Source organism: Homo sapiens, chromosome 8 (assembly GCF_000001405.40).
Source record: "Homo sapiens chromosome 8, GRCh38.p14 Primary Assembly".
Taxonomy (NCBI): domain Eukaryota; kingdom Metazoa; phylum Chordata; class Mammalia; order Primates; family Hominidae; genus Homo; species Homo sapiens.
The window spans coordinates 101,544,433-101,563,975 of record NC_000008.11 but is presented as its reverse complement, the minus strand read 5'-3'; the positions used below and the strand labels follow the sequence as shown (position 1 = coordinate 101,563,975).

At 40.3% G+C, this 19,543-nt stretch overlaps 1 protein-coding gene and 1 pseudogene across 4 annotated transcripts in view; one reads left to right on the top strand and one right to left on the bottom strand.

Annotated features, from left to right (window-relative positions):
• GRHL2 (grainyhead like transcription factor 2) overlaps positions 1 to 19,543 on the bottom strand; it is a 188,762-nt gene that overhangs the window by 117,225 nt on the left and 51,994 nt on the right. For all 4 annotated transcript variants that reach the window (NM_001440447.1, NM_001330593.2, NM_024915.4 and 1 more), the window contains exons 3-4: positions 11,194 to 11,261; positions 5,164 to 5,557 (exon numbers count right to left, since the gene is read on the bottom strand). In NM_001440447.1, the coding sequence (NP_001427376.1) occupies positions 5,164 to 5,557; positions 11,194 to 11,261 (462 nt within the window). The remainder of the gene's footprint in view (positions 1 to 5,163; positions 5,558 to 11,193; positions 11,262 to 19,543) is intronic.
• LOC124901995 (probable ribosome biogenesis protein RLP24) lies at positions 1,488 to 2,051 on the top strand (annotated as a pseudogene).

Sequence of the window (19,543 nt, the reverse complement as noted above, 5' to 3'; positions counted from 1 at the left end):
TTCCGTTGACATTGGACCACATCCATACACTCTTCTGTGACTAATGGAATATTTCTACACTGTGTGAGAAAATACATCAGTGGCAATCTTTTGGTGAAAAAACATGTACCTCACATGGGATCATGGAGTGATAATTTCAGTTATTTTCTTCTACAGAAGCACCCCTCACTACTTAAGAGCAAATCAAATAATCAACAATACCAAAGACTCTACAAGATCCTTCATTCAGTTTAAAAACAAAAAAACAAAAAAAAACAAAAAAAAAATAAGTTTGCTAACTATTTTAAGCAATATGATGCAGGAAGCTAAGAAAGATAATTTTAAGACCATTTTTTAAATTTCAAGAGCATTGAAAGTTTGATTGTAAAGCTACCAGAACCCAAGAAATATGACAGCCTCTTAAGGACAAGGAATTTATCATATGTCACTTTCATCACTCCCTGATTCCACAGAATACAGCAGGCACTCAGAAATGACTGGTGCCAGGAGTGGCAGGGCTGCTAGTGCAACTTCTATGTCCTAGTATACAACAGTTGCTCTCTGCAACTTTGCAGAGAGCCAGTCCCTGCTCATCAACCTTTTGTACTCTTTGCTCACCTGAAAGATTAAAAAAAAAAAATCTGAGATGGACCAAGGACAGTCAAATGTTTTTAAAAAGATTTTGGTGAATCACTGTCTTAAGCAATGGAACTATTGAGAATTAGAAGGCCCCAGGCTTCTCTGAGTGTGTAGTCATATGGTTAAGGATTTAGGTCCTGAAGCCAGACAGCTTAGGTTGAGTCCTATCCCTCCCACTTACTGCTAAATAACCATGAGCATACTTATGCTCTCTATCCCTCAGTTTCCTCATTTAGAATATAGAGATGACAATAATAGTACCTACCACATAGGGCTTTTGTGAGGCTTATATATCCTTAGAATGATGCCCAGCACATAGTGAGTACCCATCAAATATTCATTATTTTCAAATATTATTACTTAAAGATGAAATCTCAAGCTCAGGCAGCTGCATTTTTCCCAATGGAAATTAAATAGGCAGCAGGCTAAAGATATTATCATGCTGCCACTACACTCACTTCTCTTTAGGAAACTGGAAAACCACACATTCTCTCCTTCTGCCATTGTCTTTTATTGGCCTAGGTGGGCTGAAAAGTAGAGAACCAATGACCCCCATCTTGAATGCAGAGGCAGTGCTCCTAAACAGTGAAGAAGCTGATCTGAGCTAATAAAAATACACATTACATATTCTACATCAAAAGTTGGAAAAGGTACCAACAATTATATCACAAATTGCTGTTTTACCAAGATCCCAAGGCAATTCAATGAATACAAGATCATCTTTTTAACAAATGGTGCCACAACGAAACCAGTATGGCTGGATATCAGTATGGAGAAAAGGGTCTCAATCCTTACCTCACACCATATATAAAAATTACATCACCTCTCAAGCTTGGTGTTTGGTTGGTGGGGACCCACACGGGTTCAATATGCATATTGAGAAGTGTTATATTTGTTCAGGGCCCATCTACCCTGGCCACGGCATGACGTTTGTCCACAATAATTGCAAGGTGTTCAGATTTTGCAAATCTAAATGTCATAAAAACTTTAAAAAGAAGCACAATCCTCCAAAGCTAGGTGAACCAAAGCATTCCTGAAAGCAGCTGGTAAAGGGCTTACGGCGTATAATTCATTTGAATTTGAAAAATGTAGAAATGAACCTATCGAATACCAGTGAGAGCTATGGAATAAAAGTATTGATTCAATGAAGAGAGTTGAAGAAATCAAACAGAAACGCCAAGCTAAATTTATAATGAACAGATCGAAGAAAAATAAAGAGCTACAAAAGTTCAGGATATCAAAGAAGTAAAGCAAAACATCCATCTTATCTGAGCCCCCCTTGCAGGCAAAGGGAAGTAGTTGGAAGAGAAAATGGTACAACAGTTACAAGAGGATGTGGACATGGAAGATGCTTCTTAAAAATCTCTGTAACCATTTCTTTTATGTACATTTGAAAATGCCCTTTGGAGACTTGGAACTGCTAAATTATTATTTTTTACATAAGGTCACTTAAATGAAAAGTGATTAAAATATATCTTTCCTACATTGCCATCTACAAAACATCAGATATTACAGATGTTAGATTGCATCTCAGTGTTAAATCTTTACTGATAGATGTACTTACATAAATCATGAAAATTCTACTTAAAACTATAGAAGTGAATTGTGGATGTAAAATGGTTATGCCATTTGGATAATGGCACTAGACAGCATTTGTACAATAACTAATGGCAAAAATTCATGGCTAGTGATGTATAAAATAAAATATTCTTTGCAGTAAAATGTTCCCTTTATTAATGTTATAGAAGGGGGATACAACAAGGAACTAACAATTTGTATGACAGTGTCAAATATTATTTTGATTTTAGTATTTCCTGCTTGGTTTATTTGCATCTTAGAAGAGCATAATGACATTGTTTGATGAAGCCTAATTATGCTGGACTGTTTTGACCTGGTTTAACCCTTCTGATAGGTAGTTGTGGATGTTGGGGATGAGAAATGAATAATCTTTGCCTGGAATGACACTATAGTCTAGAATTTCCACTTTGAAGAATGCTTAGTTCTAACTTGTGATTCCTGGTAGAACAAACTTTATTTTTCTAGCCTAGCAATGATCTAGAAGCAGAGGAATCCCAGTGCCTTTTAAAAGTTATTATGTGGTTTTCTTTTAAAAAGCTCCTGTTTTTGGAAAGTAGAATTTATAGGTACAACATCTGTTCATTATTTGCACATAAAACCATTTAAAAAGTAAAAAAAAAAAAATTACTTCGAAATGAATCAGAAACCTACATGAAAGACATGAAACTAATAAACATCTAAAGAAAAACAAAAAACAAACAAAAAAAGTTTGTGACATTGGGTTAGGGAAAGATTTCTTAAATGATATAACAAATGCATAAACTATAAAAGACAACATTAATAAAGTAGACTTAATCAGATTAAATGCCGTCGCTCATGGAAAGATATAGTTAAAAAAACAAAAAGGCTAATGGACTGCAAAATATGTGACTAATGAAGGGCCTATATTCACATTATATAAAGAACTCTTACAACTTAATAAAAGGAAGAAAACCCAATTTAAAAATTGGACAAATAATTTGAATAGACACTTCACAAAAGAAGTTATAGGAAGGGCCAAATAAGTACATGAAATGATGTTCAACCTCACTACACATAAAGAAATGCAAATTCAAAGCACAATGAGACACCATCACATATCCACTAAAAGAGCTGAAGTTTAAAAGTTACCAAATTTTGGCAAGGGTGTGGAAAACAGGGATCCTCATACGTTGCTGGTAGGAACAAAATGGTATAGCCACTTTGAAGCACCGTGTGGTAGTACTTTATGAAGTTAAACATACATGAGCCACATGGCCTAGCAATTCCAGCTCTAGGTATTTACCCGAGAGAAATGAAAGCATATGTCCATGTTGAAATATAAACAGGAATGTCCACAGCAGCATTTTTCATAATAGCCAAAAGCTGGAAGCAACCAAATGTCCATCAACTAGTGACTAGCTATAGTGGTATACACTCACTATGAAATACTACTCAGCAACTTTAAAAAACAACTACTAAAACAAGCAACAAGGCTGGGCGTAGTGGCTCACACCACTATCCCAGCACTTCGGGAGGCCGAAGCAGGCGGATCACCTGAGGTCAGGAGTTCAAGACCAGCCTGACAACATGGTGAAACCCTGTCTCTACTAAAAACACACACACACACACACACACACACACAAAATTTAGCCAGGCATGGTGGTGCACACCTGTAATCCCAGCTACTCGGGAGGCTGAGGCAGGAGAATCGCTTGAACCGGGGAGGCAGAGGTTGCAGTGAGCCAAGATCTCACCACTGCACTCCAGCCTGGGCCACACAGTGAGACTCCACCTCAAAAACAAACAAACAAACAAAAAAGCAAGAACATAAATGAGTCTCAAAACTATGCTAAGCAATAAAAGGCAACATAGGAGACTATATCCTCTATCACTTCATTTACATGAAATTTTAGATAAGGTAAAACTATAGTGACAGTAGGCAGATCCACGCTCGCCAAATGCAAGGTGAGCAGGGAAGGCTTCAAATGCAAAGAGCTTCAAGGAAATTTTCAGGGCAAGGGAACTTTCTATACCTAGATTCTGATGTTGGTTTCACAATTGTATACAATTACCAAAATTCTCAACTGTGCACTTAGAACTTCTGAATTTAAAATAAACAAGCAAAGTTAGTCCTATGAGCTCCTGAGAAGAATACATATTCTCTATTTGTAAAGTAGAAAGAATGCACACATACACACACTTGATTATTGATAACGCAAATTCTCCTTCTTGAGTATTCCATCAGACAAGGTTTTTTAAAGTTTTATTGGTTTGTTTTGCTTTGTTTTGAGATGGAGTTTCGTTCTTGTCACCCAGGCTGGAGTGCAGTGGCATGATCTCGGCTCACTGCAACCTCCGCCTCCCGGGTTGAAGCGATTCTCCCGCCTCAGCCTCCCAAGTATCTGGAATTACAGGTGCCTGCCACCAGGCCTGGCTAATTTTTTTTTTTTTTTTTTTTTTTTTTTGTATTTTTAGTAGAGACAGGAGTTCACCATGTTGGCCAGGCTGGTCTTGAACTCCTGGCCTCGATCCACGCACTTCGGCCTCCCAAAGTGCTGGGATTACAGGCATGAGCCACCGCGTCCAGCCAAAGTTATATTGTTTTTTAAAAAAGAATGGACAAGCCCTACCTTTAGCTACCTACCATTTGGAAGGTTACAAACTAGAAAAGATCAAGGTGAAAACTTTACAAAGCAGAAGTTTCCACACAAACATCTCTTAATTTCTCATAAATATTTAGTCTTAAGACTAAAATGAAAACAAAGAAATCCATCATCTAAGAACCAAGAAAAATAGAAATATTCCTCCATACACATACACATCGACAGGTTTATTAATACCTGTTTAGAAAGAATGCCAGACTACCAACAAACACATCTTTTAAAAAACTAATTGAAGCTAAAACTTGCTGTTTAATTCATTTATCACACTTTGAAAGGAAATAGAAAAAAATTAGCTAGGGGCTCTGGGTTTGGGTTCTGGCCGTCGATGGAGCCTGGGACTCACCTCTGTGGCTGCGTCCTTGAAGCTCTCGCTGTATGTGCTGTCCGGAGTGCTGCGCTGGTCGTCTTTGAGATAGGCGCTGTGGGTGGCCAGCGAGGGCACGTCATACTGAGTCTGTTCAAAGATAACCACTCGTTGCTCTTCCCCATCTCCCCGGGGATAGTGCACAGGTGGGGCCATGAAAACTGGTGTGAAATCTTCAGCTTTCACCACCGTGATTCCCGACACCGGGATGATGGCAGAGCTCTCGGGGAAGCTGATGCTGTACTGTTCCCGCTTGGAATTCTCCAGGTGATCTTGATTTAGGGAAAGGTTCACTGGAACAGTCTTTAGGACTTGCACTCGGTTTTCTCCTCCACTCAAATTACTCTGGGCTTCACTGGTGCCAAGGCAGTTTCTGTGTGTTGAAACCCCCCGCAACATGATAGAATTAGAAAAATCACCATTCGGCAACGCCTAATAGAATAACCAATGCAGGCAATAATCATTGGATGTTAATGCCATTAAGGGACAGGGGGCTGGCAAACTTCACAACGAAACGCAATGGGATCCTTGCGTCACTAGAAGTAGGACCACGAGTGAGCCATGCGCCCCCTGGTATCATGCAACCTGAAGCACTCAGTCTCACTGTAAAAAACAAAAACAAAACGAGGCCAGGCGCGGTGCCTCATGCCTGTAATCCCAGTACTTTGGGAGGCCAAGGCGGATGGATCACCTGAGGTCAGTTCAAGACCAGCCTGGCTAACATGGTGAAACCCCGTCTCTAACAAAAAAATACAAAAAATTAGCCAGGAGTGGTGGCGCATGCCTGTAATCCCAGCTACTCGGGAGGCTGAGGCAGGAGAATCACTTGAACCCGGGAGGCAGAGGTTGTGGTGAGTCGAGATGGCGCCATTGCACTCCAGACTGGACAACAAGAATGAAACTGTCTCAAAACAAAACAAAACCTAACCCTAAATCTAATCAAACCTTCATATCTAACTTTCACCTCTTAGGAAATACAGGAACACAAAGAATGACTTAAACAACATCAAAAAGAAGCGATCAGACAAACCAGAATGCAGCACATCCTACTGACCTAAATTTGTCAACAAGTCAAAGGCATGAAAAAAGGAGGAAGGGTGGAAGAAGTTCTAGATTAAAAGAGACTTAAAAGTCATAAAAATCAAGTATGAGAAGCAGCTCTTGTTTGGATCTTGACCTGAACAAACCAAAAAGGCAATTATCAGGCAATGGGAATTTTGAGACAACTGAATATGGACTGGGATTTGGCGATATTAAGGAAGTATTGTTGTCAGGTGCGGTGACTCACGCCTGTAATCCCAGAACTTTGGGAGCCCAAGGCAGGCGAATCACCTGTGGTCAGGAGTTCCAGACCAGCCTGGCCAAAATGGTGAAACCCCATCTCTACTAAAAACACAAAATTAGCCAGGCACAGTGGCATGCGCCTGTAGTCCCAGCTACTCGGGAGGCTGAGGTGGGAGAATCACTTGAACCCAGGAGGCAGAGGTTGCAGTGAGTCGAGATCACACCACTGCAATCCAACCTGGGGGACAGAGCGAGACTCTGTCTCAAAAAAAAAAAAAAAAAAGTATTGTTAATTCAGTTAGGGGTGATAATGATTTTGAGCTTATGTAATAAAATGTCCTTTTTTATTTTTTAGACACACAAATCAGAATTAGTTAGAGGTTAACTAATATGATGACATGACAGGGATTTAAATACTATTGCAATCTGAAAAAAAAAAGAAAAGGAAAGAGAGAAAAGGTCAGTATCAAGCAGATATTAAGCAGTGGCAAAAATTTATCATTGCTGAACTGGAGAATGGGATGGGTATTTGGGGGGTTTATTACACTATTCTCTGTACTTCTGTACGTGTTTGAAAATTTTTACCAAAAAGTTAGTTTTAAAACACAAAAAGAAAAAAGCAGGAGGAGGACAAACATGGTAATTTGAAGGACTAGGACAAACATGGTAATTTGAAGGACTAGGGAGTGGGGAGGATATTTTTTACCATTCTGTGGGCACCTTAAAGGAGAAATAAAATAATGAGAATTTATCATTCAAGTATTTTCACCAAATTGAGAGAGAACATGAGCTCACTGACGTCCTTAGCACTGAATTCCTTTGGGGGCTTAAGGAAGTGGTGTAGCTTGGCTTATGTAAAACAAGATCTCCCAGATCTCAGACCTCCTGGGTGGTACAGAGAGAAAGGAGAGGATGTAGAATATTAATTCTTGCCAGACTAGAATAAAATACTTTCATCTATACTAAAGAAGTCTGGGAGAGAGCAGAAACAAATAAGAACTCATTAATGGAAAATTATTGTTGACAGCAAAATGATTTTATTAGCCAAGTCCCTCTGGTCAGTGCAATTTTGGGGCCACCTCTCACTAATTTACGGATTCTTCTGAGTAATGTGGAGAGAAAATACATCTTTTGCCCCCTCTCTGATGCCTGCGTTGTTTGTTTGTTTCTGTTTTTATCTAGCATGTGCTTTCTGGGGCTTTGTGGCATCTCTCATTGTGAGGGCTATTCTCTTAAAATTTGCTCTTCTGAGGCCGGGCTTGGTGGCTCACACCTGTAATCCCAGCACTTTGGGAGGCCGAGGTGGGTGGATCACCTGAGGTCGGGAGTTCGAGACTAGCCTGACCACCATGGAGAAACGCCATCTCTACTAAAAATACAAAATTAGCCAGGCGTGGTGGCACATGCATGTAATCCCAGCTACTCAGGAGGCTGAGGCAGGAGAATCACTTGAACCTGCCGGGATCGGAGGTTGCAGTGAGCTGAGATCATGCCATTGTATTCTAGCCTGGGCAACAAGGGCAAAACCCCATCTCAAAAAAAAAATGTTCTTCCAAGAACTGGGCTCTTCTGGCTCCTGTGTGTAAAGAAGGAAGCCCATTAGCCTTTGAGCTTGCCTAAGTACCAAGCAGGACTTGATATTTTCAGCTTTGATTTTTCAGATGAAACTTCAAAGTGAAACTTGCAAAAAGAATTTCTCCACATGAACACAGCAAATAGAAAAATATTTAAGATATCTAAAACTTTATGTGTAGAAGAAATAAGTCTAGAAAATAATTTCCTAAGGAGTAAAATCACAAGTCTGCACACTTTCTAGCCTTAAGTAATGACCTGATTTCGTGATCAAATCAATAGAGTGAACCTGTATATAAGAAAGAGTGAAAATTTAGAATTTATGTTTCATCTGAATCCAGCTAGTTGGAGGATGCCAAAACCCAGACCACCCATTTACATTACCATGTCCTAAACCTCATTGTTTAAACATTGCATGGAATGTTAATAGATATTCCTCACATACACACAAAAAAAGAGTCCATCATGAAATCAGTAATAAAAAACAAACAAAATTGCCATAACGAGACCACCGTGACTGGGTTGCAAACATCATGAACCCAGTAAAGGTTCCAGCATTCCTTCACCTGTTTAGTCAAAACCCAGGATTTCCCGAACTCGTGTCAGCCCAGATCCTTGAGTGAAGAAATAACCATTAATACTTGGGGATAAGCCCCTACAGGTTAGGAGTACATAAATTGGTCTACATTTATTGGCTACAAAGTTGTTACCCAGTTTCCACCCCAGGCTTTGCACACACACAGTCTCATTGGCTTTGCCAAAATATTTAAAGTTAACCAACTTCTGTATAGTTAGAGTCCATTTGGGGCAAAGTTTCTTAATTCTTTAATTCATGCAAAACATAGGAATTCTAAAGAAAGAATACAAGTCAAAATATTTTTTGGATTTGGTGTCCTAATAAACAAATAAGCAAGATATGGAATTGTATAAATCTAGTTGAATATTGTTATCATACCACCAGAAAATAACAGATTCAGCACCAACCTAAAATGTGTAACTATGCCTCTGTTAAACAGTTTTAGCTTTTGAAGCTAATACCAGAGAACTTCACAAATACATCTAAAAAATGAATAATTAAAACTAAGAATTATTGTGAGACAGAAATTACCTGCAATATAATTTAAAATTGAACCAAATATTATAATACAAGAAAAATGCAATGATAATAATGGTGTGTTAAACATACTTTTTAGAAAATTCGGATCATGTCATTGAGATTCTGTTATTTTTCCAGGTAGCAACTTCTGTATACAAACAGTTGTAATGATACTATATTAACATATAGCAACTTAATTCATGAATATGCTGCAGATCACAATGACATCCTTCCAAATTATATTCAATGAAAACTCTAAGTCATAATTAATCTATATAAGGTAGTTTAGTCTATACTTCACTGCAGTTTTTTTTTAAAGTGCTCTATGAAAATCACAAAAGTAACCATTAAAATACAATGAGCAGCTGTTGCTTTGTAATGTTGTCCTAAGAGATACTCACTTGTCTGTGATGTGAAAGGTAGACAGAGCACATGGCTTAAACTTGTTTTTCCCTGATCCTGCTATAATTCTGGCACAGGACTAAGCAGATAGCACAAGTTTAACTCAATAAAACTGGCTGGGTCAAGGAAAAGTTTTAGGGCCTGAAGAGTGTCAGCCTCTTCTTCCAGCGAGGTCCCAGGACTCCAGGGCAGTGTGGAGCTTCAGGAGATCCCTAATGGAACAGTGACTCAGATGCAGGCAGCCTTCATGTTCTGCTGGGGTTGCGCCCTGGAGATGCTGCACAGCATATGGCTGCTGGTTGGTGGAGAGGCCCCTGCTGCTAATCACAGAAGACTGTAATGTCACAAGCAGTTCCTATCAAGGCCAGGTCAGATTCTGACACATGTGCTAGTAGGGGATTTTACTTCCATATGGAAGAACCTCCAATAGAAAAACACTATGGCTTCTCTCCATCCCACTGCAGGGGAAGAGATTTATTGATGGGTGAGTTTGAAAGAAGTGGGTGAGTTTGGGCCAGGTGCGGTGGCCCACACCTGTAATCCCAGCACTTTGGGAGGCTGAGGCGGGCAGATCACAAGGTCAGGAGATAGAGCCCATCCTGGCCAATATAGTGAAACTCTGTCTCTACCAAAATACAAAAAATTAGCCTGGCATGGTGGTGCGCACTTGCAGTCCCAGCTACTCAGGATGCTGAGGCAGGAAAATAGCTTGAACCTGGGAGGCGGAGATTACAGTGAGCCAAGATGGTGCCACTACACTCCAGCCTGGTGACAGAGCGAGACTCCGTCTCAAAAAAAAAAAAAAAAAAAAAAAGAAGTGGATGAGTTTGAAAGAAGTAGCTGAGCAGGGTGATTCGGTCCCTTCTGGTCCTGTCTCTTTTTCTGGATCATCCTGGCTAAAGAGAGGGGATTCACCCTCCAGTCACCCCTGCTGTGCCATAAACGGTACAAAGTCATGCCTGGGACTGAATGGGTACACTTACCTAAGTCAGGACTGAAATGTTACAAGCTACAGATTCCAAGTCACATTCTCCAATTGGCTTCATCAGAAATAAAGCTGCTTTTGATTTTTTTGCCCCTTTTGAATCTTAATTTATCTGACTGTGCCTTGCTTTTCAGCTGGTTCTTGATTGAGGAGGGCAGACAAGGGGTGTTCCATGGTGATCTCCTGCAGCTGTCCTGCCCCTTCACCCTGACAGCGATAGCCCTTACAGTCGCCTCCACCTATGCCTCCCTTGGCTGAGAAAGAGCCCAACCTCCTTTCTTTCCCCTTCCCTGATCATCAAAAGCAATCCTTCAAGTGTCTCACTTCCTGAGGGGCCTAATTGCAGTTATAATGCCATAGGATTGATCAGAAAAGTTAATCCCAGCAATGGGCTATCTTACCAGCATCTCACCTCTGACTCAGGATTTTAAGCCTCCTTGGAATCTGAAGAGGGGTATCTGAAGAGGGTGGAGAGACCCTTTGGATGCACAACCAAACATGCAATTTGCTCTCCTCATTGAGAGATCTAGCATTGGTCCAGACTCAAAAGACAGATAGATGATGCTAAGCTTCTTGACCCCATCTCCTCTCAAGAACAAAACATACAGTTTAATAACATTGTTTTTTAGAAAACATAGAGTTATTCTGGGGGCCAGGCAAATTCCTTTACCTTTTCTCCTGGTCTTCTTGGCTGTCACTTGCTTTGCTTACAGACAGCAGCCTCTTGTCTCGAGGAACCTGGAAACATCACCAACCATCAGTCAGACATACACAGAGGCAACCATGACCATGTTCAGAGCTGGACACCGGCATAAGCAAAGAAACCAAAATGGAATGTTCTCCAGGAAATGGTGGAAAAGTTGCTATCACCAGGAGATGATAAAGGCTAGTAGCCTGAGTGACAATGATTATGGAGCCAGAGACAAAGTGTTGGTGATAAACATATGGCCACAACAGACATGATTCGGCTGCTCACTGCTGGCCTAGGTGACTCTCCCTGGACCCGAGCACCTCTCATGCGCTCCCCACCTTGGGAGTGTAAGAGGGGAGAGGAGCAATGTGAGCAGAGGTGAATCTAGACTTGGGTGCCTTTGATCAGACAAAAACATAATAGAGTTACAACAAGTGTCACCATAAAGAACAGGGAGCTACCCTCCCCTCTGATGAGAACTTTAAGTGCTGACGTGGTTGGGAGTGCTTAGGCACGGGGCGGGCCATACTGAGCCAGTAGCTGGGGGAAGCATCCAGTATACCTGGGCCCCCCTTTGTCCACCTTCCTACACAGCTTGTGGACTTGCTTCCACAATTTTGTTTCTAAATACACTTTCATTATTGTCTTAAAACTCCTAATGCCCTTTGGGAGGCCAAGGCGGGCGGATCACGAGGTCAGGAGGTAGAGACCATCCCGGCTAACACAGTGAAACCCCGTCTCTACTAAAAATACAAAAAATTAGCTGGGCGTGGTGGCAGGCACCTGTAGTCCCAGCTACTCAGGAGGCTGAGGCCAGAGAATGGCGTGAACCTGGGAGGCGGAGCTTGCAGTGAGCCGAGATCGCGCCACTGCACTCTAGCCTGGGCGACAGAGCAAGACTCAGTCTCAAAAAAAAAAAACTCCCAATGCCAACATATTACCTGAAAAATATTGAAAAAGTGCTCATTGAAAGAAGGGCCATCCCACCAGCTCTGTCTCTGACCATCATCTAATCGTCTACTGCATCCTAGATACTTTACTCTGCCATTGTTTTCAAACACATGAATAAGTAGGCTTCAATTGGGTTGGTTGATTGAATTTTTTGTTTGTGTATTTTTCTTTCTTTCTTTCTTTCTTTTTTTTTGCTCTATCTCCAGATCTTCCTTCTAGCCAAACTCCTTTGCACCCAAAAAGCAGCCTTTGCTTTCTTGAGATGAAAGAACATTCATGAAAATCATCCCTCTACTGGAGTCCTCTAGCAATTCCTGTGATTTCCACTTACCTGACTATGTACACAAGCCCAGATACCTGGCTTAGTGTGGGGACAGAGCAGAGTGACCAAGAGTCCAGACCTAGAGCCTGCTTGCCTGGGTTCAAATCTCATCTCTACCACTCAGTAAACTCTGTCCCACTTTCCTCATCTGAAAAATGGGCATAACAATAGTCCCTTATCTCACAGGTTTTTAGTAAAATTAAATGAGTTAATTTAATTTTCTAAGCACTTGGAGTGTCTGGTACTTTATATTTGTTAATAAAAAATAAAATAAATCAATTATAAATCATTCATGTTAACTTTCAGAGTGTATACTATACCAGGCATTGCTAAACACTGGATAGAAATGAGATAAATGATAGTTCTCATCATCTATTGGAGATGACAGATAAACATACAATTTCAATACTCAACACACCTGTGTTCATTGCAGCACTATTCACAGTAGCCAGAAGGAGGAAACCACCCAAATGTCCAACAGCAGATGAATGGAAAAACAAAATGGGACATGGCCATACAACGGAATACTATGCTGCCTTAACAGAGAATGAAATTAAGGTGCATGCTATAAAATGGAGGGACCCTGAAGACACTATGCTAAAAAAACTAAGCCAGATACAAAAGGACAAATATTATATGATTCCACTTATATGAGTTACTCCAGAAGACTCAAATTCACAGACAGAAGGTAAAACAGAGAGGAGCAGCAGGTAGGAGGATAAGAAAGGAATTATTGTTTAAACAGTACAGAGTTTTCTGTTTGGGAAAATGAAAAGGCTCTGGAGATAGATGGTGGCGATGTTTGCACAACAGTGTGAATGTACTTAATGCCACAGAACTGGACACTTAATAATGGTTAAAATGGTAAATCTTATGTTATATATCTTTTATGACAATTTTTTTAAAGGCATTAAGGAAGAAGTAAGTATTTAAGGAGACCCCACAGACGTAAAAATAGAATGAAATCATGTCCTTTGCAGCAAGATGGGTGGAGCTGGAGGCCATAATCCTAAGCAAATAAATGCAGGAACAGAAAACCAAATACCGCGTGTTCTGACTTATAAATGGGAGCTAAACATTGGGTTCACATTGACATAAAGATGGGAACAACAGACACGGGACTACTAAGGCAGGGATGCAGGGCAAGGGCTGAAAAACTATCTTTTGGGTCCTATGCCCACTACCTGGGTGCTGGGCACAGTCGTATCCCAAACCTCAGTGTCACACAAAATATCCATGTAACAAGCCTGCACACATATCCCCAAATCTAAAACAAAAGTTGAAATGATAATTTTTTTAAAAAAAAAAAAGACCTGCATATGTATCCCAGAACTTAAAGTATAATAATTAAAAAAAATAAAAATAAATAATAAAAGAGGGAAAAAAGGAGAAAGAAATTCCACTGGCATTGAGATTAAAAACTTAATAAACTGGAAAACTATACATATATAGAAAAAAGGAGACCTGCCTCCCCAGCTCTGCCTGCCACTATACCCTGAGTTTATGACTCGCCCACCCCACTAGAGAGCACTTAGTTTCTTTCCTAAAATATAGTTATTCCTATAGTGTTTTAAAAATTTAATACCCCATGATACGAGATAAAACTGTGCTACCGACAGGGTTCTCTGGAAGCCTAGAGGACAGAGCTCCCCAGAGGGGCTGAGCCATGGTAGGAATTTGTCAGGTGGATGGAGAAGGCTTTCTAGCCACCAGGGCTGCTTATAAAAAGGTTAGAGGGCAGGACAGAACAAGGAAGGCATGTCCCACGTGAGGAATGAGTTGGGGGAGATGTGGCCTCAGAGATGAGCAAAGGCCAGACGAGGAAAGGCCTCTGAAGCAGGGACAGATGATTTACTTCTTTTGTTGTGTGCTATGGCACCATCACATTTTTCTGGACTGTCAAGCATCCCTCGCCCTCTCCCCTTCCAACCAGGTGGCACAAAGTCCCCTGTGCTTCTGAAACCCATCCCCTGCCCCTGGACACCAGCCTCCAGGCTCAGCCTCCAGGGTCCCTTGCTTGGGCTGCTGAATCAGCTAACTGGTCTCTCCTCTCCTTCATTTCATAACTGTGAATTATTTCTGGATCCATTAGGAAGACTCAGAGTGGTCTGCTTAAAATGCAGTCTGATCTTGTCGTGTTGCTATTATACTTAAAACCCATCAGTGCTTCCCATTACTCTCAGGTAGGTAGTCTCAAATACGTCTCCCATCTCAATGTAGGCAGCCCCTGTTTTTGCTTCTCACACTTGGGCCAACTATATCTACGACCATGCATATGCTCCTTCTCATAAAAGAGCCATGACACAAAGTCCTCTCTGCCTAGAACATGCCCCACCCCTCCTACCCCCACACTACCACCCATGCCTTCTCCAGGCTAACTTGTGCCCATACTTTGAGTCCCATCTAATTTTCTGTGTCCATGATATGGCAGTCTCTATGCCTACCTTGTACATGGTTATGTCCTCAATGCCTGGAATGTAGTAGGCCCTCACTAAATACTTATTGAAAGAATCAATTGATCAATGAAAATGGCCTGGAAAGGGCAGGACCAAAGAAATAGAAGAATAGGGATTCCAAACACTGAAACATGTTAGCGACTCCCAAAGATTCATGGAAGTGAATGCTGTTGTTGCCAAGAGCCCCTGATGTGAGCTCTGTGCTGACAGCTGTGCTCGGTTTAAGGTGCTAGGCACAATACCATAAAGGTGGTTATTAACCTGCGGGTTTGCTCTTCTTTGAACCATGCTCTTTTTTGAAACTTTGGCTTTACAAACCATCTTTAGATAAACTGAGAACTCTGAACTTGGTCTCTTCCCTTGAGTCCTAGATGTCCCTACCTGGACATCCTGCAGGCACATCAAACTCAACTCTTAATTATTGTTCTCCTCAGAGCCTTTATTCTGTACTCTCTGCCTTGATTAATCCAGGAATCATCTTAGGCATCTTACCCTTGTTATGAACTCCCCTCACCAACTCTCTGTCTCTCTCTCTTTCTGTCCTGGTCTGTGCATGTGACAGATCATCCTCTACTCTGTGGCAGAGTAGGCATTGCTTCCTCTGGAAAGCTGGTGAATTATCTGGGAGGTTGTCAGTCAACCCACTGCTCTTGGAACATGCCCCTTTTTGAGCATTGACCTCCATAAACCATGGTTATAGGTTTATAGCAATGTGTTTGTCCTGGACTGTGATTGTCGGTGATCTCTCTGAGGTGGTCAACCGAATATCATCTGCCTTTAGATATCCAATATTTACCCCCATTACTGGGAGGTCATATCTACTTAGTGAATATTTTTTGGGTGGGTGTGTGTGTGGGTGGGTGGATGGATGGATGGATAGATGGATAGATGGATAGATGGACAAACAAATCAACCAACAAATTGGTTTCCAGCAGTACTGGTCAATAGAACAGATAGAAACCAACTGACCAGGGAAGCCTATTTTTCACTACAGCTGGAACCAGATGATGATAAACCAGCTCTTTCAAGAGGAAAATAAAGTTACATAAAGTAAGTCAAAACATTTTTTAAATATCTGGCTAATTGAATCTGTCACATTTTTCTGTCATGCCTGAAATTCATGGAAAGGTCGCACAACTGTGGAGCTATTACTGGTAAGTAGTTTAAACTGGATAGAGAACTGGGCTAGAATTTTAGTCTCTAAATTATGACTGATTCTATATATTTGGATTTTAAAAAATAAACACCACTTTATGAGTAAGCAACTTATTAAGCTCCAAATGCATACTTTTAAAATTTTTAAATGGATTCAAAAAAGGGCATTTTGTAAATGGTGGACATTGTAAAACAATGGCTATTAGGAAACATACAGGATTGTCCTGTGATCTTGGGTAAATCCCACTGAGTTGCATGAACTATAAAATGTAAAACCTGATGGACTTCACTGCAATGATCTGTGGTGACAGTTATCAACTGTAGGTGAAAAGACCTTGAAATTTATGAAGTATTATGCAAAGGTATGCCTTTGCCACGTTCACAGGACAGGGACCACCATTTCTGGAGTGCCTGCGTGTAGCTCATGAACTCCTCCCTGTGGACAGAGTCCATGACTGTCCCCACAGGGGTGATATACTCCAACTTCAGGAGTGAGGAAAAATGGTTTCTTTGACAAAAATAGAATCAATTCATCCTCTGAAGAGGCATACAAAGTCTATAAAATGTGAATGATAACATGGCAGCAATTTTTACAATAATTTAACTTCCCAGAGTTTACACGCATTTAAACCAAAAAAAAAAACAGACTGCTGTGTTTCATTAACATTTCACTTGACTACAGAAAAAGGTCTATCCTCAAGGGACATTTAACTTTGTTATAACTTTAACACCAACATATATAAGCTGTGAACACCCAGGCAACTGAAAAGGGCTTCAAAATGATCATTTGAACATACAGTGTTTGAAAATAAGACCAATTATTTCCAGAAACACTAAAATGTTTCAAGCAAAAGTATAGCAAAGCTCATGTGAAATAAAAGAAGCTATGTAACTCTAGTAGTCCACACAGTCTTGGAAATATTAATTCAACAGAAGGAGTTCTAGACTTGGCTGCAACTTGAGTTTTATGTAAACTCCCTACCTGGTATCTCAGAATAGTTACAGAAAGCAATATTTCAACTTTCCTTTAAATGCTAGCATAAGAGGACAAGTAATCTGGGTACCATATTTACTAGTACTTAATCACCCATATTTACTAATACTTAATTATCCTCTGCATCTGTGGGAAATAAAATATATTGCCTTCATAAATTACTAATTATGGACTGGACTTGGTGACTCACGCCTAATCCCAGCACTTTGGAAGGTCAAGGCCGGTGGATCACTCGAAGCCAGGAGTTCAAGAGCAGCCTGGCCAACATGTGCAAAATCCCGTCTCTACTAAAAATACATATACAAAAATTAGCCGGTTGCGGTGATGCATGTCTTAATCCCAGCTACCTGGGTGGCTGAGGCAGGAAAATTGTTTGAACTCGGGAGACAGAGGTTACAGTGAGCTGAGATCATGCCACTGCACTCCAGCCTGGGCAACAGAGCGAGACTCTGTCTAAAAAAAAAAAAAAAATTACTAATTATGTTTGTTTCAGGATATGCTTCTCTTTCTCACTAACACAAAAAAAGAATTGTCATCAAATACAGATATATGAAATTATATCCATTTCACAATAACAGAATAAAATCTATATTTTAAAGAATAGGAACAACATATTTCTCCTAAATATAATCAATATATTTCTTCAAAGCCTTATGAAAACTATTAACTGACATATTAATTTAACATTATAAAAGTTTCAAACAGGCTGGGCACGGTGGCTTACGCCTATAATCCCAGCACTTTGGGAGGTTGAGGAGGGCAGATCACGAGGTCAAGAGATCGAGACCATCCTGGCCAATATGGCGAAACCCCATCTCTACTAAAAATACAAAAATTAGCTGGTCATGGTAGAGTGTGCCTGTAATCCCAGCTACTTGGGAGGCTGAGGCAGGAGAATCACTTGAACCCGGGAGGTGGAGGTTGCAGTGAGCCAAGATCGTGCCACTGCACTCCAGCCTGGTGACAGAGCAAGACTCCATCTCAAAAAAAAAAAAAAAAAAAAAAAAAAAAAATGTTACAAAGAGAAGTTGTAATGATCTGAATAATCAAATCAGGGTCACTTTAAAGATATATTTATAGATTTTGAAGATCAATACAACTGTCAAGTTTTGACTATTTTTTCATCATAGAAGAAAATCACTTTTCAATTTCTTTCTAAGGATGAGACCAAAAACAGTTAAGCCCTCAAGAAGTGGCCCAGTACACGAAGCAGCCTAATTTGATGAGTTCTGTGCTTCCCAACTATCCTCAATACATTTTGAAAATTTTCAATTTGAAACATTTAGAATTTATCCTTGCATTTCTCAGATGAGATCCTCAATCAGAAAGAATGAAAACTATAAAACAACCACAGCCAGAAAAGAAGAAGAAGAATAAAAAGCCTACCATGAAATCATTTTGGTTTTCAGACTTTTTTTTTTTTTTTTTTTTTTTTTTTTTCAGGAATTCCCCTTCACTGTAGAGAAAATAGCCTTAGTTACATGCAATGTAGTTTAGGCCTTAAAGCATCCTTTCATCTGGAGCCCAAGTCCCCCAAAGTTAAGGTCCTTCTTGCTATGTCAGGAGTCCTGCTGGGAGTTTTATGCCTTCATAAGAGGGTGGTCACAATCTGCCAATGCTGGCTCTCTTGATAAGTGGGAAAGTCAGCCTAGACTGGAGAAAGCCTAGACCAATAGAAAGCCCTTCATATATTTCTCTAGCACTTCTTAACTATAAAGGATGCATTTATTTGAGTTAGCAATATCCTTATTTAAAATACCCTGGATGGTCCTACCTGTCAGTCACTTGCACCTGCCACTCATACCTTGCTCTTCATCTTAGATAAAGCCTCGCTTTGTTTTCAATCATCTCCCCAAGAAGGAATCCCTCCTGAGTGTTTTAATGGGAAAGAAGGTGGGAAAGGAATGTGTAATTTTAGAAAACTCTGGCAGAAGAATAGGTGTGGTGGCAATGCCAGAGGTGGTGGTGGGAGATTTTTTGAAAGCATGAGAACTGTTCTAGGGGAGAGACAGGAGACAATAGCTTGCAAAGTGGAGGCTGCTGGAAGTTAACAGGAAGTAGGAAGCAGAAAAGAAACAGGAAGCAAGACCAAAGGTTACTAAAAGGGAAATTATCTTTCCTGCATGATTTTGCTGAACTCTGTGGTTTTTCCATGATGGAGGGAGAAGGGAAGGTGGGATTCAGTTCTTATTCTAAAATAAGAGTTAATAAGAGTTCATTGTGCCCAACCAGCAAAATAAACACAGCCATCCTCACATTTGTGCCAATTCCCAGCATCAGCCAAAGGTGTTTACAATCAAGGCAGGCAATAAATCTCATTCAGTAAATACTGGTCAACTTTTTATACTTTAATAATTCAAAAGGAGCAGGTCATACCAGGCATAGTTCTTTATGCTTGAGAAAAATCATTGTTTTTGTTTGATTTCCTGAAATACTCCTATTTTATAGGTA